This window comes from Homo sapiens, chromosome 18 (assembly GCF_000001405.40).
Source record: "Homo sapiens chromosome 18, GRCh38.p14 Primary Assembly".
In the NCBI taxonomy this organism is placed as follows: Eukaryota; Metazoa; Chordata; class Mammalia; order Primates; family Hominidae; genus Homo; species Homo sapiens.
Window position 1 is genome coordinate 33,262,900 of NC_000018.10, and position 26,364 is coordinate 33,289,263.

Below are 26,364 nucleotides of genomic sequence, written 5' to 3' on the forward strand. Positions count from 1 at the left end.
TTCTGAACCTGAATATAGAAAGTCAGATTTTAAACTCCAGCTGTGGGACTTTAGGAAAGCCACTTTGCACCTTAGAACTTTGAGTTCCTCATTTCTTCCTTGGAAACACACAAGAATTATTTAGAAAAAGTAGAATTCAATAGAGGTTGAACAAATATTCAACCTCCCTAGTAATCAAATAAATGGAGTTCAAAACAATATTAGGAAGATAGTTTTCATTTATCATATTGAGAGAGATTTGTTCCAACTATAACACTCAAGTTAGCACAGGTGTGTGAGAGGACAAGCTCATGTACTGCATAGCCTCATGAATGGGATAGTCTTTCCGGAAAGTACTTTTAGAGATGAAGTGGGAGTTTTAAAAGTATTATACTGAATCAAATTCTATGAAACTATTTTAAATTTTAAAAAGCCAATATGTTGATAAAGATTTCTAAACAAAATAATCCACTGCCATAATATTTACAACAAGTAGTTAAAAATGAGAGCCATCCAAATAACAGCAATTTGTACATAAATCATAGGTCATCCATATAATACACTTTTATACAGCTATTTAAATGGTGTATTTAACAGTTGTTTAATATTGTGAAAAATCTATTATATCATGCTGGGAATAAGATCAAAACTCATAATTAGTTATTTAGTAAGAAGGAAAAAATTCAGTAATATATTAATAGCTATATTTCTATGAATTGAAACAATGTTAGGGTCTCAATCTCCTTTTGTACATTCTGTATTTTCCAAATTTCTTACCACAAACGTGTTACAGACAGAGTGCTAAATAGAGAAGACGTTACTACTCTTAAGGCACTGGAACTTTTGGTTAAATGGAGCTTTGTTAAATATGGCGTAGGAAACAAAATCATAGTCTAGAGCATATCCAAGGACACAAGTTGAAAAATAGAAACTTTTTCATAAACATAAGATTGCAATGATTAACTCAACTTTATCCTAGGACTTAAAGATTTTCTACAAATAGTGTTCAGAAGCAAGTGGACTACACATGGTTAAAAAAAAAATAGCCAAGAATACAAGTGAAAAAGGCACTGAAGCATGAGCTAGAAGAATAAGAAGTAGAAGCAAATTACAAAGACTACAGACATTTAAATTATTAGGTGCAGATTATAACTATTCACACTGTTTAAGAGATAAAAGATAAGCTTTAAATATCTGTGTCAAACAAAAAAATCATAAAACAATCTAGCAGATTTGGGTGAAAAGCAAATAAAACTTTAGGAAATGAAAAATTACATTTGCATACATTTGTAATGTAATATATACTTGCTGCCTACATATAGACTTGCCAGTTTATATGTGCAAATAATCGAAATAGATAAAATTATTTGCATATATACATAAATGTGATAGATATATATAGTTACCAGTTAGAAACAAGAATATAAGAACTATTTTGATATATGAATTGGTAATTATCTCTTTGTCCTGAGTTTTAATCTTCTCTTCTTTAGGAACATGACTTAGATATATAGTAGACCTGACTCTTGCCTGCAAATCTCTTAATCTCTCTTTCACTTTATTTTACTGATTGTTTATTAATTCTCTGTTCAGCACCATGTAATCCGCTGTTAAAAATTATCCATTTAATTTTTAATTCCTGGTAAAAATTGGGGGAAATTAAATGATTAAATAATTAAGTAACATCTCAGGGTGCTTTCTGGGTAAGCAAGATATACACCATGGAAATCCTTCCCCATAAATAGAGCTGCATTCCCACTGCTTGTGATAGATGTACTTGTGTTCCCAATAATTCACTACGTCTATTCTTGAGAGAATTAGACTTGTCACCCCACTGACATCAGACTTGGCCATGTGACTTGCTTTGTTCAAAGGAATGTGAGTGGTATTAACATGTATCACCCTCCTGTGGAAGCTACAAGAGCCATTGAGTGATCTCACTAATGTACTTTTCCCTCTATTACCAGCTAAATTACTATGTGAGTGAGAAATCAACCTTTTTATTTTGAGTCACTAAGATTTGGGGGTTGTGTGTTACTGCAGAATAATCTAATAAGTGCCTGCTGTCACACACTCTCCCTTTCCTCAAGATGAGTGTCCTTATTAGATCACCGACTCTTCAGATGTTTGTTTGCTTTTGCTCCTCTGGTTCTTTTTCTTTATAAAATAAAATGATAAAATGTAGTAATATTAACAACTACAGTTTTAAGTTATTCTTTAAAAACCAACATCCTTAAAAAAGTATGTTTCACATACAAGAAAGTTTTACAAATTGTTCCATTTCATCATTTCCAAAGGTAAAATAATTCTAAGAAATTTTATCAAACTTCCAATACAATAATCAAGTATCATGGTCATTTTTTCCTGATAGCATAGTATGTGTCAGACTCTGCTATATGATGAGGATTCAATAGCAAAGGAAAAGTAGTCATGATCTGACCTCATGGATCTTCCCATTTTTGAGGAAGACAGAAATGAATCAAATATTCATACACAAAAAATTATGAATATGAGAAGAGATGTGAAAAAGAGAGGCATGTGTATCACATGTACATATGACAGAGGAATTGAATTTCACAGGATAGTCAGCTGTAATCTTAAGGATAAGTGGCAATTAGGTAGAAGGAAGTGGTAAAAACATTCTAGAAAAAGAAAGTAGCATAAAAATACCATGTATGGGCTGGAAAAAGTGATAAGTGGGAGAAACTGAAGTACTACTACTGTATTTGAACCAAGTAATAAGGGTGAACTGGGAAGAATATGAGACTGTAGAAGCAGATGTGCCTATTCAAGGGACCTTGCAGGATATGTGGTGGGGGGTCTTTGGTCCTTTCACCCCTGTTAAAATTCATGCAGATATAGAGGGGAATTGATCATACTTATGTTAAGATAAATAAGAACATGCCTATCAAAATGTAGATAATGTATTAGAGAGTGATTGCAGGTAGACCAGTTCTGCCAGTCACTGTGAGTTCATGCCAGACATGACGATAGCTTGTACTAGATTGTTGGTGGAGCAATGAAGAGAATAAACTGAAAATACATTTAGTATGTGGAATAGTTCTTGTTGATCCATTAAATATGAGAGTTGAAATAGAGGAGTCATGAAAACTCATAGGTTTCCAAACCAAGAATACTAGTATAGTAGTTGCAGGAAAAATTGAGAGTGGACTGAAGGAGATCATGAGCTTGATAAGACATACATAAGATCCTCCATATCTGCAAGTTTTGATTCCTGCAGGCTTAGTTACCTGTGGTCAACTGTAGTCTGAAAAGATTAAATGGCGAATTCCAGATATAGACAATTCATAAGTTTTAAATTGTAGGCTGTTCTAAGTAGCATAATGAAATCTCATGCTCTCTTGCCCCAGATGTGAATAATCCCTTTGTCCAGCATATCCATGCTGTGTATGCGACCTGTGTTTTAGTCACTTAGTAGCCAGCTCAGTTATCAGATTGCAAAATTGTAGTATATATAGGGTTTGGTACAATCTGTGGTTTCAGACATTCACTATGGGTCTTGGAACACATCTCCCATGGTTAAGGGGGGGCTACTGTATTTTAAGTTTAAAGTATTTTTTAGTGTAAGAGGATAGTCAAAAAGAGGTAAGATAAGGCTGTGTAAAGCTGCTTATAACTTTTACAATTATTTTGACTTTTCTTTTTTTTCTTTATTTTATTATTATTATACTTTAAGTTTTAGGGTGAACAAAGAGAACACATGGACACAGGAAGGGGAACATCACACACCGGGGACTGTTGTGGGGTAGGGGGAGGGGGGAGGGATAGCATTAGGAGATATACCTAATGCTAAATGACGAGTTAATGGGTGCAGCACACCAACATGGCACATGTATTCTGACTTTTCAAAGGGAACCCAGAGTGACTAAAGGCAACATTTTGAATAGAACTTAAATTTTAAGCTACTGATAAACAAAAACACCACCATATAACTCCAGGGACACAAACTGGAGAGGTTTATTGTATTTAACATATTGGATTATGGTATATAAGAAGAAAAGTATTTGCAAATTTACCTTTCATTGGTTTTTACTGTTATTTTGTTAATATCAATCTCAAGTTTTTTATTGTCTTCCGTCAGTTTTGTACATGCCAAAGAAATAGCTGAAAAATCTTTTGCAACATCAGAAAGCTCAATATCCCATGTTTTTTTCTTTAAGAAAAGAATAAAAGAATCATTCATACATGTCTAATTATCAAAAGGCAAAACCTATAATAATGAAATCACTTTTAGATATATGAGTTAATATTTGGAAATAGAAAATGGCGTTCTAAGTGGGAAGTAGGAAAAAATCAACTTACTGCAGCATAAAAATCATTAACTGCTTCCAGATACTGATTTTCATGACTTTTTTGCTTCCAGGTTAGTTGGTCATAAACTCTTCTCAAATCTTCCAGCTAAGAAAGAAGATATACAGAACAAAGTGAATTGTATAGCTTTTCATCCTTCCATAAGGTAAAAAATAAATTAATCATGATAAAGTAGAATTTGTTTCAGTTACATAAAAATTGAAAAACAATAGAAAATTCGGAATCATAATTCATCACATCAACAAGTTAAAGGAGAAAATAAGCATGCTAACACTTTGCAAAACAGTCATTTAATAAATTCACTCACTGTCTAGTTTTCGTATCTTAAAAAAACTAGTACAAGAAAAAAATGATTCAAATATAATATAAAGAAACAATAGCAAATACCAAAGTGAATTATAAAATACTGAATGTATCCTCATTAGACTCAAGAATAAGATCATATTATCTTTTATTACATTATTAATCATGCTTTAGGAAAGACTAGGTAAACAATTACATAATAAAATCAAATATTACTATTATAATACTGAAAATGAATAGGTAATATATCTTCAACTTTAGATAACATAATTAAATACCTAGAAAAATAGAAGAATTCTATTTAAAACAACAATAAACAATTTTGGTAAAATGGCTGGATATAAGGATTAGGAAATGAATAGCTTTTATCTATAAGAATAATAATCGGTCTTTAAAATACAGAAGAAATAATTGTAAAGTTTTCTCAAAAATATAAATTATTTGGGAAAAAATTTGACAAAAAGAAGAGGACCTATATAAAGTAAACAAAAACTCTTATTAAAAATCCTAAATCAAGTTTCACATGAAAAGGATGATTTGTTACAAAATGGTTTAATAGACTATAATGTGTGTTCTCCCAACATTACTGTAAAAATATAGCAAAATGGAGTAGTCTTTTTTGAACTGCATTAAATGAAGTTCACATGGAAAAAAGGTATCTGAGACTACCCAAAAGGTATCTGAAAAATAAAATATTGGAAATTTGCTACCAGATACTAAAACATCCTATAATACTTCTATATTAAGGCAACATTTATTTTCCTAATCATAGTAAAGATCAGAGGGAAAAATTAAAGGCCAGAAATAAATCTGAATCAATATTTTCAGAAAATGATATCTGAATTCAGTGAGAGAGAAGTTGTTTAATTAATGGTACTGAAATAATGTGAAATCTCTGTTTAAAAAAATTCAAAGTGGTCTCTATACCTCACATCTAACTCATATAATAACAAAAGTAATGTTTCAGACGAATAAAAATCTAAATGCAAACACAGAACATGTTCAAATTAGAGTAATCAATAAGATTTCACTTGCATAATCTTGGGCTAAAGGAGAGTGTCACCTTGCCGAGTAAACCAAGAGATCTGTTGATGGGTTTGACAGCACATTTTATAAAAGTATGTGTCAAAAAATACCACCATAAACAAAATGTAAATTAAATAAGACGACCATGAAAAAAATGTAAAATAAAAAGCCAACATTCCCAGATTATGTCCTTGCAGAGACATCAATGAAAATAGTGAAGCAGGAGTCTCTGAAAACTCCCTCTTATATAAATGTAATAAAAAAAACTGATAAAAAAATGTCAAATCAGCCTTGTCAACATTCGAAATTAGCCAAAGGCTTGCAACAATCTAGGGAGCACTGATTTAATAAAAACAGTCTAAACTTAGTAAGAAGAGTGCACTTTGTGGTGTTTCACCTTCTAGTCCTATCACTTCAGCTCCACAGAAGCCTCAAAGAATAATTTATTGTCAAAAGCAGCCTTCTGGCAGCCACCAGAGAGAGTAGAATCAGGCTAGAATGCATTCAAAGCCTCGTTCTCAAAAAAATTGTCTTTATTTGACCTGTCTGGTGGTTTTTATGGAAACCTCCACTTGCAAGGATGTCTGCATTTGATTTGATGCAGAGTTTACCAGCACAAAAACTCTCTCCCAGAAAAGCTTTTTCCCCAGAGCATGGTTGTCCAAAAAAATTACAGGCAATTGATAAACTCTGTGGCCACCTGAGATTGTGGCTAAAAATTGGAACAAACAGTAGATGAACTAACAAACTAAAAAGGGAAAGCTGGTGGAATTACATCCATAGTACTTTGTAAAGCTCCAACATAACTCCTGGGAATCTAGAAGGCTGCAAATATCCAGGGATGTGTGAAAGACCAGGGTATTCACATGTTCTGGAAATACCTGAGAAGCTATTTAACCTCTCACCTCCTGCTGATCTTGAGGCTCTATGAAAGCAGGAAACAACAACAATAACAAAAACTACGGCAACGTTGGCAACTGCCTGGTTGTTTATTAAAGGTGAACCTAAGAAAGCACACAGAACTTTTCTGCAAAGACAGAGATAAATTTTTTTCAGATTTTAAGGATTATTATCCAATGATTAACAGACCCTCAGCTGAGAAGAGACTTCATGGGCTGCACATGAGAAAGACAACAGACTTTACTTAATTAAGTTAGAAAGTTCTCTAAACAAAACAAAACAACAAAGATTACTACTTCAGCAAACAGCAACAGGAACAAATCCTGAGGATAAGTGAAAATATGATATCCAGTATAAATACATTGTATTTAAAATGTTCAGTTTTCAACAACTAAAAATGAGACATTCAAAGAATTAAGAAAGTATAGACTATGCAGAATAAAAAATTAGTCAATAGAAATTATCTCAGGGGAAAATTAGACATTTTATTTATTAATCCAATTGGAAATTTGAAATATGTTCAAGGATCTAAAGGACTAAAACAAAGCATTAAAATAATGTTTTAGCAAATAGAAACTATTAATAAAGTGATATAAATTATTTTAAAAACTCAAATATAAATTTGACAGTTGAAAAGTACAATAACTGAACTAAAAAATTTTTGCTATCTGCACTCAACAGCATATTTGAGTAGGCAGAAGAAAGAATCATCAAATCTGAAGACGAGTCAACTGAGATTATCTAGACTAAAGAACAGAAAAAAAAATAAAGAAAAATGAACAGAGATTCATAGTTGTGTGACATTCCATGAAGTATATACCAATATACATACAAAAGTAAAAGTAGTCAAAGAAGAAAAGAGAGGGGGGAGGCAAAAAGTATATTCAAATAAATAATGGCTGAAAACTTGCAAAATTTGGTTTAAAATACATTAATTTACACATTGAGGAAGCCCAAGAAATTCCAGTTGTAAAAACTCAAAGATATATACTCGAGATACATCACAATCAAACTGTCAAAAGTCAAAGACAAAGAGACACTCCTGGAAGCAACAAGAGAAAAGTGACACTTCACATGTCAAGGATCTTCAATATGATTAACAGACAATTTTTCAGTCAAAACAATGGGAAACAGAAGTTATATACTAGCATATACAAAATACAGAAAGAAAAGTACCAAGAATCCTATATCAAGCAAAACTATAACTTAAAAACAATAGAGATATTAGGACATTCCCAGATAATCAAATATTGGGATAAACCTGTTCTATAAAAAATACTCAAGGGAATTGATTCCTTCAAATTGAGATGAAAGAATGCTAGACAGTAACTTGAATCCACAGAAGAAATAAAGACAACCAGTAATCATAACTTTATAGGTAAATATTAAAAATGTATAAACGTATTATTTTGTAACTCTTCTTCATTGCCTAATTTAAAAGACAATTGCATAAAGCAGTAATTGTAAATTTCTGTTGATAGTCACACAATGTATAAAGATATAATTTATACAATAGCAAGACAAATAAATAAAGGAAGAAAGAAAGCTATAGAGGAGAAAGAAATGTGTATACTATTGAAATTGTTAGTATTAATCCAAAATAATTTTTTTTGTAAATTACATTGTGAATTCCACTCCTAGGGCAATTGCAGGGAAAATAGTTCAAAAATATATAGTCAAATCAATTGCAAAGTAATTAAAGTGTTACACAAAAGAAGGCAGTAATGAAGGAATAGAGAAAATATAAAGACATAAGACACAGAGAAAATAAGTAGCAGAATGGCAAATACAAATCCTACCTTATCAGTAATTACATTAAATGTAAATAAATTAAACCCTCTAATTAAAGTATAGAGATTGACGGAATGAGTTTGAAGGAAATGGTCCTATCATATACGGTTCACAAAAGACACATGGGAGATCAAAGACACAAATATGTTGAAAGTAAAGGCTGGAAAAAGAAATTCCATGCAAACAGTAACCATGTTAAAGGAAGTCCATGCAAACATTAACCATGTTAGAGCTGAAGTGGCTAGATTAATATCAGACAAAATAGACTTTAGAATAAAAATTGCTAGAACAAACAAAGAATTACATTTTATAATAACAGAAGGGTCAATTAATCAAGACATAACAATCACGAATATGAATCCACCCAACAACAAAGCTTCAAGATACATGAAACAAAAACTGACAGAACTAAAGAGAGAAATAGAAAATTTGACAAAAACAGAGACTTTGATACTGCATGACTGAAGTCATGCAAAGTGCCTTCTCCAGCCATATTGGAATGAAATTATAAATCAATAACACAAAGAAATAACAGAAGGAAATTCAAAACATATGGACATTAAACAGTATGTTCCTTGATAACCAACAAGTATAAGAAGAAATCTCAAGAATGATTAGAAAATATTTTGAGATGAATGAGAATGAATGTACAACATATTGAAACTTATTGGATGAAGTTAGAGCAGTGCTTTAAAGGAAATTTCTAGCTCTAATTGCCTACATTAAAGAAGTTCTTATGTCAGTAACCTAACTTTACATCTAAAAGAATTAGAAAAAGAGCTAACTAAACCCAAAGCAAGTAAAAGAATGAAAATTAATTTTTAAAAAACTACAGTGAGAAAAATATGAATTCTAATACATGCAAAAAGTGGAGAGAATCAACAAAACCAAAAGTTTGTTCTTTGGAAAGTTCAAGAAATTTGACAAAATACTGTATACACTAACCAAGAAAAAAGAAGATTCAAATTACTAAAATCAGAAATTCAAGAGAGAGTATTGCTATGAACCTTCAAAAAGTGATTATAAGAGAATATTATAAAACATTTTATGCCAACAAATTAGATAAACAACATGAAATGAATAAATTCCCAAAAATACACCACCTAACAAAACTTACTCAAGAAGAAACAGAAAATCTGAATAAATCTGTAACAAGCAAATAAACTGAATTAATAATCAAAAACTTCTCACAAAGATAAGCCTGAACCAAATTGCTTTACTGGTGAATACTACTAGATGTTAAAAGATGAATCGACATGGGTCTTTCACAAAATCTTCCAAAAAATAGAAAAGAAATATACACTTACCAGCTTATTCTATGAGGCAGTCTCACTGTGATAGCATATCCTGACAAGACATCACAAGAAATGAAAAGTACAGACTGATATCTCTTGTGAATTTAGACACAAAAATCCTTAACAAAATAGTTGCGGAATCCATAAACATATAGAAAGGATTATAGACCACGATGAAGTGAGATCTATCTAGAAATGCAAGGTTGGTTCTACATGTAAAAATCAGTAAATGTAATAAACACCATATTAATATGATAAAGGACCAAAGCCATTTCCATTATTTCAATGAATGTAGAAAAATCATTTGAAATATTTCTATACCCTTTTGTAATAAAAAATTCAGTAAACTAACAATAAAGGGAAATTTTCTTATCCTGATAAAAATGTACCTGTGAAAGCCAACATCATACTTGATGAAAAGTGGATCATTCCACTAACATCAGAAAGGATGGGATATTTGCTCTTATTGTCTTTTTTTTAACATTGTATTTGATGCTCTAACCAAAGTAATTAGGCAAAAAAAAAATAAAAATAAAAATAAAAAATAAACATTTCCAGATTGAGAAGAAAGAAGTAAACATCTGTATTTGCAGATAAAAGGATTTGTGTAGAGAAAGTCCTAAATAATGTATTTTCAAAAACTATAGAGCCTAATGAACAATTTTGCAACTTGCAGGATACAAAGACAACACACAAACATTGGTGGTATTTCTACACACTAGCAATGAGCAATACAAAAATGTAATTAAGACAATTTTATTTACAATAGTGTCAAAATGAATAAAAATTTAGGAATAAATTTTACTAAACAGTGCAAGATTTGTACACTGAAAATTACAACACATAGTTAAAAGGAATTAAATAGGCCTAAATGAAAATATATCTGTAACCATGGATTTAAACACTTAATATTATTAAGATGACAATGCTCTCCTCATTGATTTACAAAACTCCAGTAATCAAGACATTGTAGTACTGGCATAAGGAAAGACATATAAATCAATGGGATAAAACTGAGAATGTAGAAATTAACCCATACTACATTAATTACCAATTGATTTTAACAACAGTGTCTAGACAATTCAATGAGATAAAATAGTGTTTTCAAAGAATGCTGCTGAAAATACTGAATATCCACTTACAAACAAATGAATTTGAACTTCTACTTCATACCATACACAAAAATTAACTAAACTTGGATTAAAAAATATAAATGTAATAGTTAAAACCATACAAATCTTAGAAGAAAACATAGATATAAGTCTTTGAGACTTTGGATTAAGCAATGGTTCCTCAGATATGATACTTAAAGCATAGGCAACCAAAGATAAAATAGATAAATAAGACTCCATCAAAATTACAAACTTTTAGTTTTTAAACTTTTTAATATCTTCTGCTTCAAGAATACTAACAAGAAAGTGAAAAGACATGACATGGAGTGGGAGAAAATATTTTCAAACAATCTATCTGATGAGTGTCTAATATCTGGACTACAGAAAGAATACTTACAACTCAATAAAAAGTGAAAAAGAACGGAATATAAAATGGACAAAAGATTTGAATAGACATTTCTCCAAAGAAGATATACAAATGACAAACACAGGAAAAGCCATTTTCCATTATTAGAGACTATGGAAATGCAAATCAAAACCACAATGAGATCCCGCTATATATCCACTAAGGATGGCTTTATTTAAAAAGGGGTTTCAAAAAAAAAGGACAGATAATACTGATTGTTGCTAAGAATACGTTAGAATTGAAACCCTTATAAATCACTATGGTAATGTAAAATATTGTAGTCACTTTGGAAAATAGTTCGGCAGTTCCTCAAAATGTTAAACATAGAACTATCACATGACCTGGCAATTCCACTCCTAGATATATAACCAAGGAAAATGAAACACATTATGCAAAAATTGTAGTGAATGTTTAAGAGTGGCTTTATTCTTAAGAGTCAAAAAAAGTGGAAACAGCCAAAAATCCATCTACTAAAGAATGGATAAACAAAATGTAATGTACTTAGAAAATGGAAACTACTCAGTCATAAAAAGCAATAAAATACTGACAGACTCTACTACATAAAGGACCCTTGAAAACCAGGGTCTATTGTCTTGCCTCAGGTAGCTCAGATGCATAAAATTATTTTATATTTTACATACCAAACAATTGTCAATCTCCAGAAGTAGGTTTACAAAGTATTTTTCAATGGGAAAAAAATGAAAAAATATACATGAAAATTCAGTGCCTAAGGGTCAAAATTAATGATTTGCACCACTATGCCTTTGATAAATGCCTGTGGAAGGCTTACTAAATGAAGTTATGAGACAATCATGAGCACACCTTAAGCATTGCATGTGTAATTCTTGCAATCTGCAACTTTTGGATAAGTACGATTACTTTAGCCCTGGCCTAAGTAATAAGATCCATGGAGTCACTAGTATTATGTCCTTATTCCTTTCCTAATATAAATGATAATAAATGTACAACTTCAAAAGTATTAATCATTGGAATATCTAAAATCAAATAGTATGCCATTAACGGAAATCTTTGCATTAAAAAGGAAATTTAAGTGGCTAATAAGAAAAAAATGTATTTACTTTGCTATCAGGCAGGAACATGAAAATTAATGTAACCTTTTTTTACCCAACAATTAGGTTGGTATAATTTAAAAATACCAACCATTCTGGGAAAAATGAGAGAAATCATACATTTCTATTGCTCCTAATATATAAATATATGTGCATATGTATACATATGTTTTAGAAAATATTTCAGAAATATTTATTTTGAAAAACATACTTAGTTCTAATCCAATAATTCAACTTTTGAGAATCTATCCCATAGAAAGAACCAATTCATAACAACAACAAATATAAAGTTATTCATTTTAATATTGTTTGCAGTAGTTACTATTTTCAATCTGAATTTATTTAAAAGTTAAATAATTGAATACATTGTCATTGAGGTTCATTTTCCTTCTAATGGGCTTTCTTGGGTAGCAAAGCCTAGGAAAATAAAAAGAACAGAAAGGAAGGTAGGGATACTAAGAGGAAAGGAAGGGAAGGGGAAGGGAAGAAGGGAGGGAGGGAGGGATTTCTAGTTTTACTTGGAGGAAGGGTAGGAAAGGGGAGGGGAGGGGGGAGGGGAGGGGAGGGGAGGAGGGAGGGGAAGCGGGGAGAGAAGGGAAGCTGTAGCTTCTATGGTCAATCTGGGAAACATTTTTGCATGTCCAACCCAGAGTTTTTTCTGCCAGCTTTGCAAATTCATTGGTTTCTAAATTTTTTTCTACCTAAAACAGAGGGATTTCTGTTTCCTGCACTGTGCCCTGATTGATATTATGACATGTTCCTAGTATGTAATATTTGTTTACTGTTTAAAAGAGTGCATTAGATTCATATCTAATAACCTTGATATATATCCACAATATATTTTTAAGTAAAAGAGCAAGATTACTAAATGTAAACTGGGCAATAGAGCAAGACCCTGTTTCTAAAGTAAGTGAGTAAATAAATAAATAAATAAATAAATAAATGACAATATTAGATGGGACTGTGAATCTGAAGTTGGACTTCTCAGACATGATGTTAGGCATGGAAAAATACATAACTCTTTGGGAAAACTTTTTTGCATTGTCTACTAAAGCTGAACATGTGCATTCTTTGGCCTAGAAATTCACAAAATAAATGAATGTTTCATTTTAATAAATGAATGCATTTCAGTGCATATTTCAAATGTTGTGGCCTGAAAAGCTGGAAGGTTTGAATTGCCATAAACTGAAATAGGGGAGAATGCAGGTTATAGAGTGGTTCCACATCTGAAGTACAATTTTAGGACAGTTAAACTTGAGATACTTACTAGATATCTAAGTGGAGATTCAGAGTTGGCAGTTGGATTCAGAGTTGGCAGTTGGATATATAAGATTTGTTACAAAAGACTAAGCACTGAGGTTCTCAAATGTTTGGAGTTTGAGGAGATATAAAGAAACCAGTAGAGGGAACTGAGAACAAGAATCCAGAAAAATAGCAAAAACCATGAAGAATGTGTTCTGGAAGCCAAAAGAAAAAGGTTTCCAAGGCTAAGGGTAGAATCAACTTGGTTAAGTGGCATGTGTAAGCTAATAAAGATGAGGACAAAAGAATAATGATTAGATTTAGCAAAATGGAAATCACTGGTGACCTAAGGCTTAATGGTGATGGTAAAAAGAAAATTGGGGTGTGTTTAAGAAAGGATGAACGATATAATGGTCAAGTAAGATTTATTCCAACAATTCAAGGTTCAAATTAGAAAATCCATTAATTTAATATACTGTATTATAGATAATGAGAGAAATATTACATGAGCTTCTCCCTAGAGGCAGAAAAGATTCTTGAGAAAATTCAATACTCATTCCCAATTTAAAAAACTACTCAATACATTGAAACTGACAATACTTTACAACATGATAAAATGTATATTGAATCTTAAAGCCAGCATCATATTTAAGGGAATAAAAAAACTAGTAGCAATCCCATTAAGAGTGGGGCATAGCAAGGATGCCACTTATTTCCACTACTATTTAACACTGTATTAAAAGTATTAACCAATGTAATCAGATAAAAAATAATGATTAAAGGCATAAGAATTAATAAAAATTAGTGTCTCTAATTGCAGATGAAATAATAGCATTCCTGGAAAACCCCAGATAAACAATGATGAGTAACATAAATAATTTTAAAAATTAGTAAATTAGTGCAGTAAGAATTATCATTATTTACTTCATAAACCAAATATAACTAGTTAGAAGAATTAATAAAAGAGAAATCCTCAACTAGAAGTACAAAACAATAATTTACGAATACACTTTTCAAAATCTTGCAAATTCTATATGAGGAAACCCTTTAAAAATGCTCCTGACACAAAATGTCATTGAACAATTGGAATAGTATCATCTTATTGACTTAAAATAATGCCTATTTACTATCTCATTTTCTATAAGTCAGAATGCTGGTGAGCTAGGTCAGTACTCTGCTTAGGGTCTCACAAGCTGTAATGAAGGTTTCAGTTGGCCTGGGCTCTCCTTTAGTGGCTCTGGGGGATAAACCATTTCTAATCTCATTAAGGTTGTAATCTCATTACAGTTCCAGGCAGAATGTATTATGTTTTCACAGTTTCTATGTGGCCCCCTCCATCTTCAAGTCAGCAATGACTGGCTGAGCACTTCTCATGCTTTGGAACTCTCTGACTCTACATTTCTCTGACTTGTTCTTCTCTCAGCCAAAAGAAAGTTATGCTTTCAAAGACTCATGTAATTACCATTACAATCCAGGATAATCTCCCAATCTAACGGCACTGATTATAAACACAATTACATCTACAAAATCCTTCTGCCCATGTAACCTTGCATATTTACAAGCATGACATGAAAGGCACAAATTATGAGGATCCAGATTCTGCATACCACACTGCACTGCCTGGGCCCATGATCCACATCCTGCCCATATGCAAAATACATTCACCTCCTCTGAGGGTGCCCACAAATCTCCAACCAAAGCCCAAACTTGCATCTAAATGTTATTATCTCTAATGTCCAAAATCTCATAATCTAAATCAAGTACAGATGAAACTATATAGGTTCGATATATCCTGGGGTGAAATGTCTTCTTTTTTTTGGACCTTTGAAACTAAAGAAAGAAATCATGACTTTCCAATGATCCTAAAATACATACATATATATATATATATATATCTATATACATACACATATATATACACAAATACATATATATATATATATATATATATATATATATATTTACTTCATGAGAAAGAAGCCAAATCCATCATTTTTTAAGAGATAATCACTTCTCTATTTTTGGCTACACTGAAATAGTTGAGGAGTAACACCCTTAAATTTCCTTGATGCCCTCTTGTTTAAGGAGCCTATAGAGCCACCCTTCTAAAAGTAACTTCAATTAAAATTGATTGAATAACATTTTTATTTTATGCCTAAACATAAAACTTCAGCATTTATATATGGAATCAAATTTTAGCATTTATATACGGAATATAGGCTTTATTCTATCATATACAAAACAAACACAGCAACTAGAAAATGACTGAATTTACCAACCTTCTAGCATTTATCCTTTAGAGAATATTACTATTAGCAACAAATACTGACAGTATTTAATACACAGAAGTTACCTCTAAATGCGGACTGTGAAGTACAAGAAATCTGCTGGACAATATGGAACGATAATATATATAAAATTAAAGGGATGCAAGGCTGGTTCAATATACGCAAATCAATAAATGTAATCCAGCATATAAACAGAACCAAAGACAAAAACCACATGATTATCTCAATAGATGCAGAAAAGGCCTTTGACAAAATTCAACAACGTTCATGCTAAAAACTCTCAATAAATTAGGTATTGATGGGATGTATCTCAAAATAATAAGAGCTATCTATGACAAACCCACAGCCAATATCATACTGAATGGGCAAAAACTGGAAGCATTCCCTTTGAAAACTGGCACAAGACAGGGATGCCCTCACTCACCACTCCTATTCAACATAGTGTTGGAAGTTCTGGCCAGGGCAATGAGGCAGGAGAAGGAAATAAAGGGTATTCAATTAGGAAAAGAGGAAGTCAAATTGTCCCTGTTTGCAGACGACATAATTCTATATCTAGAAAACCCCACTGTCTCAGCCCCAAATCTCCTTAAGCTGATAAGCAACTTAAGCAAAGTCTCAGGATACAAAATCAATGTACAAAAATCACAAGCATTCTTATACACCAATAACAGACAAACAGAGAGCCAAATCATGAGTGAACTCCCATTCACAATTGCTTCAAAGAGAATAAAATACCTAGGAATCCAACTTACAAGGGACGTGAAGGACCTCTTCAAGAACTACAAACCACTGCTCAATGAAATAAAAGAGGATACAAACAAATGGAAGAACATTCCATGCTCATGGGTAGGAAGAATCAATATCGTGAAAATGACCATACTTCCCAAGGTAATTGATAGATTCAATGCCATCCCCATCAAGCTACCAATGACTTTCTTCACAGAATTGGAAAAAACTACTTTCAAGTTCATATGGAACCAAAAAAGAGCCCACATTGCCAAGTCAATCCTAAGCCAAAAGAACAAAGCTGGAGGCATCATGCTACCTGACTTCAAACTATACTACAAGCTACAGTAACCAAAACAGCATGGTACTGGTACCAAAACAGAGATATAGATCAATGGAACAGAACAGAGCCCTCAGAAATAACGCCGCTTATCTACAACTATCTGGTCTTTGACAAACCTGAGAAAAACAAGCAATGGGGAAAGGATTCCCTATTTAATAAATGGTACTGGGAAAACTGGCTAGCCATATGTAGAAAGCTGAAACTGGATCCCTTCCTTACACCTTATACAAAAATTAATTAAAGACGGATTAAAGACTTAAATATTAGACCTAAAACCATAAAAACCCTAGAAGGAAACCTAGGCATTACCATTCAGGACATAGGCATGGGCAAGGACTTCATGTCTAAAACACCAAAAGCAATGGCAACAGAAGCCAAAATTGACAAATGGGATCTAATTAAACTCAAGAGCTTCTGCACAGCAAAAGAAACTACCATCAGAGTGCACAGGCAACCTACAAAATGGGAGAAAATTTTCGCAACCTATTCATCTGACAAAGGGCTAATATCCAGAATCTACAATGAACTCAAACAAATTTACAAGAGAAAAACAAAGAACCCCATCAAAAAGTGGGTGAAGGATATGAACAGACACTTCTCAAAAGAAGACATTTATGCAGCCAAAACACACATGAAAAAATGCTCATCATCACTGGCCATCAGAGAAATGCAAATCAAAACCACTATGAGATACCATCTCACACCAGTTAGAATGGCAATCATTAAAAAGTCAGGAAACAACAGGTGCTGGAGAGGATGGGGAGAAATAGGAACACTTTTACACTGTTGGTGGGACTGTAAACTAGTTCAACCATTGTGGAAGTCAGTGTGGCGATTCCTCAGGAATCTAGAATTAGAAATACCATTTGACCCAGCCATCCCATTACTGGGTATATACCCAAAGGACTATAAATCATGCTGCTATAAAGACACATGCACACGTATGTTTATTGCGGCACTATTCACAGTAGCAAAGACTTGGAACCAAGCCAAATGTCCAACAATGATAGACTGGATTAAGAAAATGTGGCACATATACATGATGGAATACTATGCAGCCATAAAAAATGATGAGTTCATGTCCTTTGTAGGGACACGGATGAAATTGGAAATCATCATTCTCAGTAAACTATCGCAAGGACAAAAAACTAAACACCGCATGTTCTCACTCATAGATGGGAATTGAACAATGAGAACACATGGACACAGGAAGGGGAACATCACACTCTGGGGACTGTTGTGGGGTGGGGCGCGGGGGAGCGATAGCATTAGGAGATATACCTAATGCTAAATGACCAGTTAATGGGTGCAGCACACCAGCATGGCACATGGATACATATGTAACTAACCTGCACATTGTGCACATGTACCTTAAAACTTAAAGTATAATAATAATAATAATAAAGAAACACACACACAAAAAATAAATAAAATTAAAATGGATAGATTCATTTAAGAGTTAATCATACAGCATCAAACGTATACAAAATTACAGTGATTTTAAATATGTGCTATTTATTGCAATGAGAGTAAGTTTTCTTAGTTCTCCATTTCACTGAAATCAATTATAAAACTTCCAAAATCTATCTCTTTTACAATATAATAATTATTAAAGACAAAAACAATTTTTATCTTAAAAAATAAATAATTTAAATCGTAAATTATATTGAAGGAAAGACACCTCTAGATTGAAACAATATAATCACTAAGAGTTATTATGTAGTTTTGGTTATGTTTAAAGTCATGTTCAAAACTTATTTTATATTCAAGGAAACAATGCCAATACCAACATCTAAATTATACAATTAAAGGGTGAACATAGTACAAAATTGTGAACCAGTTGCCATACAAGATCCAATAGACAATGTGACAAGTCTCATAACCCCACAGAATTAATGATATGAAATTCAATTCATAAAGATGTCTTCTTAAAAGTGAATGGGAAAAGGGTAAAGTTAAGGTTTTAAGAATTTTGGAAAATGTGAAAATACTGGCAAATTATTTAAGCTTTGGCAGAATGCTAAGGTGTATCATTCTTACCTGTGCTTCTTGTACTACTGTATAATTCAACTTTCATTATTTGTTATCACAATACCATTTTGCTTAAAATGAACAGTTACGTTCAATTAAAAAGTTTTAGAGATATTTATTACAGCTTTGTTTATAATACTTAAAAATTAAAGCACACTTAATATCCAATGACAAGGGTTTAAGAAACTGTAAAGAGAGAGAGGGCAAGATGGCCAACTAGGTGCAGATAAGTGGAACAGCTCCCATGGAGGCACTGAGACTACTGGCGTGCTTTTAACAGATCTTCAGAGGGAAGGCACCAAGAGTGGACACAGAAGCTGGGTTGAAGGGGGAGAAAGCTGGGAACCCTGCAAGGGCTATCACATATGGGGGGCTCATTTTTGAACCACAACAGTTCCGGAGGAATAGGTGAGTGAAACTGGCTAGGAGCAACTTGCTCTTGCCACGGGCCTCTGAAACCCGGCAGGAAGGGACCCCTTGACCACCATGGACACTTGAGGTGGCAAGGAGAGCCTCCTCGAGAAGTGGTAAGGGCAGCAAGCCAGCTGATGTGGAGCCCAGAGGGTTTGGAGCGAGAGCATCTGTAGTGCAGCACAGCTAGGGGTTGGCCACCATACCTCTAGGCTCGACTTGCTCCTGTGAGAGACTTCAGCCCTAGGGGAACTGTCGGTCCTGATCTCTGCAAGCTGGTCCTGCACATCAGATGGGACTAGTCTGACCTATGCACTCCTTGGTCTGCTGGCCTCTCCTGGGTCCCCAGCCTGGCCATACTTGCTTATAGGGCAGTCTCGAGTGGGGCCCACACCATAGCTTCTGCATTGGTAAACCATACCTAAGAAATAGAGAGCTCCAGTAAGATGGCCCCTGTGCCCACACACCAGCCCACATGCTCTCTCTCCATACTTCAGCTTTCCCTGGGCTCATGGCAACTCACCACATCACTACCTGGCACATGTTTGCACGGGAGAGTTTTTGCTTTACTTGCCCTGCCAGCACATGGGAGTGCAACTGGACCCTCAACATCCCTGCTGATGGCCATTGCAGAGAACCTCGGAGGGCCCAGAGCCAGCAAGCCCGGCTCCCCGCTAGTGCCTCCCCCTTGTGTTAATACTGTGCAGAGAACAGGGGATCCTGCCACACCCTGAGTGATCACTCCTGCTTGCAGGGCACAGAGAAGGCACCCAGACCTGCCCAGACCAGCACTCTGGCCCCAAGCCAACACCACCTCCAAGGCAACCACACACAGAGTCTCCAGCAGGGGCCTCCTTCTCCCACCCTCCAACAAGCTGCATTGCCTCTGCCACTGTGGTGAAAGCTAGCAGGGAGGCAGACACCCCTGCATCCACTAGCACTCTGCTGCAGCTGCTGCACCTCGGCATCCCCCAGAGCAGGCCAAACCTCAAGGAGCCAAGAACAAAGTCAGGGCCCAATACAAGTCCTCCCAAGTCAGAGCATGCAGTCTAGGAGTTAGGAGCTGAACACTGGCCCCCTCAAATCTCCCACAAACGAAGTCAGTCGGCTGAATCCTCCTTATATTAAGTATAAATTAAACCCCCAAAGTCATCAACAGGATTAAAAAAAGAAAAAAAATCCGAAGGTAACCAACCTCAAAGACTGAGTGCCTTCTTTGACCAAGATGCCAAAAGCAATTGCCACAAAACTAAAAATTGACAAATAGAACCTAATTAAACAGTTTCTGCACAGCAAGAGAAAGTATCAACAGAGTAAACAGACAACCTACAGAATGGGAGAAAATTTTTGCAAATTATGCAGCTAACAAAGGTCTAATATCTAGCGTTTATAAGGAACTTAAATTTACAAGAGAAAACCAAGTAACCCCATTAAAAAGTGGGCAAAGGACAAGAGCAAACACTTTTTAAAAGCTTACATGTGTCTAAGCATATGAAAAAAAAGCTCAGCATCACTGATCATTACAAAAATGCAAACAAAACCACAATGAAATATCATCTCACACCAGAAAGAATGGCTATTACTAAAAAGCCAAAAAAATAACAGATGCTGGTGAGATTGTGGAGAAAAAGGAACGCTTATACACTGTTGGTGGGACTGTAAATTAGTTCATCGTTGTGGATTACAGTGTGGTGATTCCACAAAGACCTAAAGGCAGCAATACCATTCAATCTGGCAGTCCCATTACTGGGTACATACCCAAAGGACTATAAATCATTCTGTTAAAATACACATGTGTACGTATGTTCATTGCAGCACTATTCACAATAGCAAAGACATGGAATCAAACCTAAATGCCTATTAATGATAGACCTGGCAAAGAAAATGTGGTACATATACACCATGAAATCCCATGTAGCCATAAAAAGAACAAGATTATGTACTTTGCAGGGACATGGTGGGAGCTGGAGGCCATCAGCCTTTGCAAACTAACACAGGAACAGAAAACCAAATGCCGCATGTTCTCATTTACAAGTGGGAGCTAAATGATGAGAACACATGGATACACAGAGGGGAACAACACACATTGGGACCTATCAGAGGGTGGAGAGTGGGAGGAGGGAGAGGATCAGGAAAAATAACTAATGGGTACCTGGGTGACAAAATAACCTGTACAACAAACCCCCATGACATAAGGTTACCTATGTAACAAACCTACACACGTATCCCTGAACTTAAAAGTTAAAAAAGAAACTCTAAAGCTTTTAAAATTGATTGTAAAATATAATATTGAAATAAGTTTTTATGTCATGAAAGAAGAAACATGCCATCAATTACTGTATGCATATGATAATATCATTATTCATATATATTACAAGGCCTGTGTGTTTATATACAAAAAAAATGAACAGTGACTACATCTGGATGGTGTTATCATAGTTCAATATCTTCTATTCGCTTGAGTATATTCTAAACTTTGAGGAATCAGCATTAAGTATTTGTGCCTTTCAAAACATGCCTTAAAATAACTTTATATCATAGTTTCTATAATGAATCCCATCAGATTTTCTGAGGGTTGTAAGGAAGAAAACAGGATTCATTAATAGCAATTGAAGCAGAGTTTGTGGGGCAGATCCCGACTGGAATAATCTTATGTGAGAACGCAAGGAGAGAAATTGAAGACAGAAATGACTTTCAAAGAATTTTCCACAAAGAATATCAGGAAATGCAACTGTACTGTAGCTCTTGGGGAAAGAAAGAATGCACACACACACACACAGACACACACACACACACATTAAACATGAAAAACAGGGAAGTGAAAAGTAAAAAGTGAAAGAATAAGCCTAAAGAAAAAAGAAAGAAATTGTAACCATAAAAGTACATATTAACACATTAAAAGTTTGAAAATTCTAAAATTATTGAATCTAAAAATCGTTTCTTTTTAAATAAATTATTAAAAATTTTAAAATCTAATTTAAAAAGTGAAAATACGTATACAATTAGAAATAACATAACAGCAAAAATGGAAGCAAGCATTCCGCGTCATGCTATGGTAATATATTTGAAAATCTTACTCCATTTAGATTATTTCCTGGGCCATTAAAAAATTAAACATTAACCTCAGGAAGAAATACATAGCCTGATATGACAATTATGTTATTAAATAAAACAGTGGCCCATGAAAAAGAAAATAATAATTCAAACAATGGAAAAAAATCACCAAGGTGTTCTATCAAATTTTCAAGAGAAAGTTATTTAAATATGTATTAATTATTTAGGTAATAAGAATGGAAGAAAAGTTTCAAAATTCATTTTGTAAAGCTGGCATAATCCTGATAAGAGCATCTATCAAATATAGCACAAATTAAGAACACCGGAATACAGACTCACTTATGAATATGGATGCAAAATCTTAAATAAAATCCTTGCAAATCAAACTCAGCAGTAAATTAAAAGAACAATAAACCATAACCAAGCAGAGTTCATCTAATGAATTTAAAAATGGTTAAATATAAATATAATACATCACCTCAATAGGTCAAATGAGAAACTAAAATCATCTTCACAGCATTTTCTATAAATGAACATCTATTCCTATGTAAACTGCTTTTATAATCAGAGTATATTTTTAAAATCTTTAGCATGGTCATTAGTATATATTTGAAATCAGCATTTAGATAACATTAAGCACTTCTTTAAAATAAAAGATAGTAAAAGCCAATTTCACAGATGTCATTTAATATTTAATATATATGCCACACAAAATACACACATAAAAAGTGTTGAAATCCTATTATTTAAAAAATTAGCAATGTGTATTTTTTTTTTTTTTTTGAGATGGAGTCTCACTCTGTCACCCAGGCTGGAGTGCAGTGGTGCAATCTTGGCTCATTGCAACCTCTGCCTCCCGGTTTCAAGCAATTCTCCTGCCTGAGCCTCCTGAGCAGCTGGGACTACAGGTGTGCACCACCACACTGGGCTAATTTTTGTATATTTTAGTAGGGATGGGGGGTTTCACTATATTGGCCAGGCTGGTCTCGAACTCCTGACCTGGTGATCCATCTTCCTTAGCCTCCCAAAGTGCTGGGATTACAGGCATGAGCCACCACGCCTGGCCAGCAATGTGTATTTTTCTAAATGTTATCCTATTTTATCTACAAAACACATATATGAATACTGTGTAATGAAACACTACTGTTTTCATGGTCCAAAAATTTGGGTTGTAGTTTGGCTCTGCCACTTAATAGCTTTTTGTCTGTTAGAAAATCACTCAGCTTCTCTAGGCTGGCTTCCTATTTGATAAATTGTTAGTATTAGAAATAACTATTCTTTCTCTATTTTTGAGAAGGAATTTGCTTAATTTGAAAATTTTCGAGGCAAATGTATGAATCAAAAGGCATATTTGAATGGGTATTTTGTGGTGTTTAGATTCATACTGTATAATATATAGGCCAATATGTTAGTAATGTAAATTAGATTTCTATGAAAAACAATATTCAAAAATTATGAAAATACCAACTAATATGCCAAAGGAATCCACTTATATGCAACATTTATATGAAAACTAAGTTACTAAAAAATAATTTTGTGTGTCTATGTGATTGTCAATAAAATATAAAATTCATAAATATTTCTAAATCCCTAAAAGTTATTTTTTATTATCAACTGATAAAATCAGATATAAATGCCTTTTTTATATTACAAGAAACTAAAAATTGCACATCATAAAATTATTTTCTTAAAAAATATTCTGAACCTTGGGAGTAGACAATAAACATGGGAAAGGGATTTATAGAAAATTCTTTGTTTTACATTTAAAAAGTATTTGATCTCAACATTACTTTAATGCACTGAGCCAATTTCAAGAGGTTTTCTGGCTAACAAAGGCCATTGTTTTTAGAAATGAAAAGGAAACAATGTGTTTTCATAGATCCATGACACAAATTAGAGAAAAGTGTATGTTAATGAGGTAAAGACTCAATTGAAAGCACAAAATGCCTTGAAATTAAAAAAAAAATCATTTTAAGTTGTATGTGCAATTAGGCAGCACAAATCTTCTATTTTTCTCTTGAACTGGGAAGTTTCAATTGCATACCAAAAAATAATGCATGGCAATAATGCACATCGTTGCTTTTAATTGAATGCTTAACATGTGCTCTTTGAAAATCTAGCTTAAAGGTTTTATAATGAGCAAAATACAGAAAAAATTAATATATCTAAACTTCATTTTTCTCATCTCTTCTAGAATGTATGATAGTCTCCAAATGATTTCTATAATTAAAAAATATCACTAACCTTATAAATATATACCCAATTTCTCATCAAAAATAACATTTTGTGGCCAGGTGTGGTGGCTCACACCTGTAATCCCAGCACTTTGGGAGGTCGAGGTGGGTGGATCACCTGAGGTCAGGAGTTCAAGACCAGTCTGGCCAACAGGGCGAAACCCCATCTCTACCAAAAATACAAAAAATTAGTTGGGTATGGTGGCTCACACCTGTAATTCCAGCTACTCAGGAGGCTGTGGCAGGAGAATCACTTACCTCAGGCGGCAGAGGTTGCAGTGAGCCCAGATCATGCCACTGCATTCCAGCCTGGGCAACAGAGAGAGACACCGTCTCAAAATAAATGAATGAATAAATAAATAAATAAATAACATTTTGTTAAAACATCAAATTGAGGAGGGCCAGCGTATTCATTTTAGAGATGATCAAAGATATAAAAAACTGATTGTAGGTTTACTCAATAATTGTTCCCTTTTTGAAAATTTTATTCATGCTGACATTTTTATAGATATAGACAAATTTCAGCATGATTATTAAACCAAGGTAATAATTATTTGTCAACAGTATGTAATATTTTTAAAACTTTTATTGATTATGCTATACTTCCCTGGGGCTTTTATAGTAATCCCTGGGAAAGCTACAGGCATTCTTTTAAATTAAGGAAGATTCTGTGAATGGCTACTCTCTACACTCCAGGTCACCAAGTTCTTTACAGGCTCACAAGGTGTAGGATTTCCCCTCTTCCCATTTACCTTTACTTCCCTACCTCCCTCCTCCTCTCCTCCTCCTCCCCTCCGCTCCCCTCCTCTCCCCTTCCCTCCCCTCCTCTCCCTTCCTCTCCCCTCCTCTTCCCTCCTCTCTCCTCCCCTCCTCTCCCCTCCTCTTCCCTCCTCTCTCCTCCCCTCCTGTCCCCTCCTCTCCCTTCTGCTCTCCTCCCCTCCTCTCCCCCCCTCCCCTTCCTTCCTTCCTTTTCTTCCCTCTCTCTCCTTCCCTCCCCTTCCTTCCTTCCTTTTCTTCCCTCTCTCTCCTTCCCTTTCTTCCTTCCATTTATTCCTTGATTCACTCACTTACTCAACAAGCACTTATTGTCTAACATGGGAAAGGCATTGGATAAATTACACAGAGACAAAGAAAGAGTCACAATGCATCTCCTGCCCTTAAAAACCTTAAGAAGTAGACAACTAATCACTAATTTCAACACAGTGTTATAAGCGCCAGCATAGGGGTAAACGCAGAGTGTAGTTAGAGTTCAAAGCATAAGGAAGAAAGTTAAGAGATGGTTTCACCAAGGATTTTCTTCCTTCCAAGTTGAGATTTAAAATAAAAGATTTCAGCTACACAATGATAGGACTGAGAGAATGAACAGTGTCAAACAGACATTATATTATGAGGGAAGAGTATTTATAAAGAGTTGGAAGAATGAAAATATGTGGCACATTCTGTTGTCCTGAGGTTGTTTCAGGTGGTTAGAGTATAGAGTCAGAGGGAAAGTGGGAGCAAGAAAGAGGCTGGAGACAGAAACAAGGGCAAATGTAGAGAAACTCATACTACTATCTATTTAAGATCAGGTTCTTCCTTCTCATCAATGCCATTTCCTCCTCCTCTAGTATTTCAGCCCAGTGTTTTTGGTTTAGTGGGTTGGTTTTTTTGTTTGTTTGTTTTTGTTTTTGTTTAGTGTTTTCAGCCTTGTCTATTTCTGGATCCTTCTCTCTTGCCTATGTAGCAGTGTAAGTCATTCTCATATGAATTTAGGTTAATATTCTCCACACTGCATGAATGAGACAAAATTAAGACATTTAAAAATGAAAATAAAATTTAAAA

The 26,364-nt window shown here is 33.9% G+C and overlaps 1 protein-coding gene across 10 annotated transcripts in view; it reads right to left on the bottom strand.

Annotated features, from left to right (window-relative positions):
• CCDC178 (coiled-coil domain containing 178) overlaps window positions 1-26,364 on the bottom strand; it is a 503,635-nt gene that overhangs the window by 325,494 nt on the left and 151,777 nt on the right. For all 10 annotated transcript variants that reach the window (NM_001371120.1, NM_198995.3, XM_011525951.2 and 7 more), the window contains 2 exons: window positions 4,303-4,398; window positions 4,017-4,153 (listed from right to left, as the gene is read on the bottom strand). In NM_001371120.1, coding sequence (NP_001358049.1) covers window positions 4,017-4,153; window positions 4,303-4,398 — 233 coding nt within the window. The remainder of the gene's footprint in view (window positions 1-4,016; window positions 4,154-4,302; window positions 4,399-26,364) is intronic.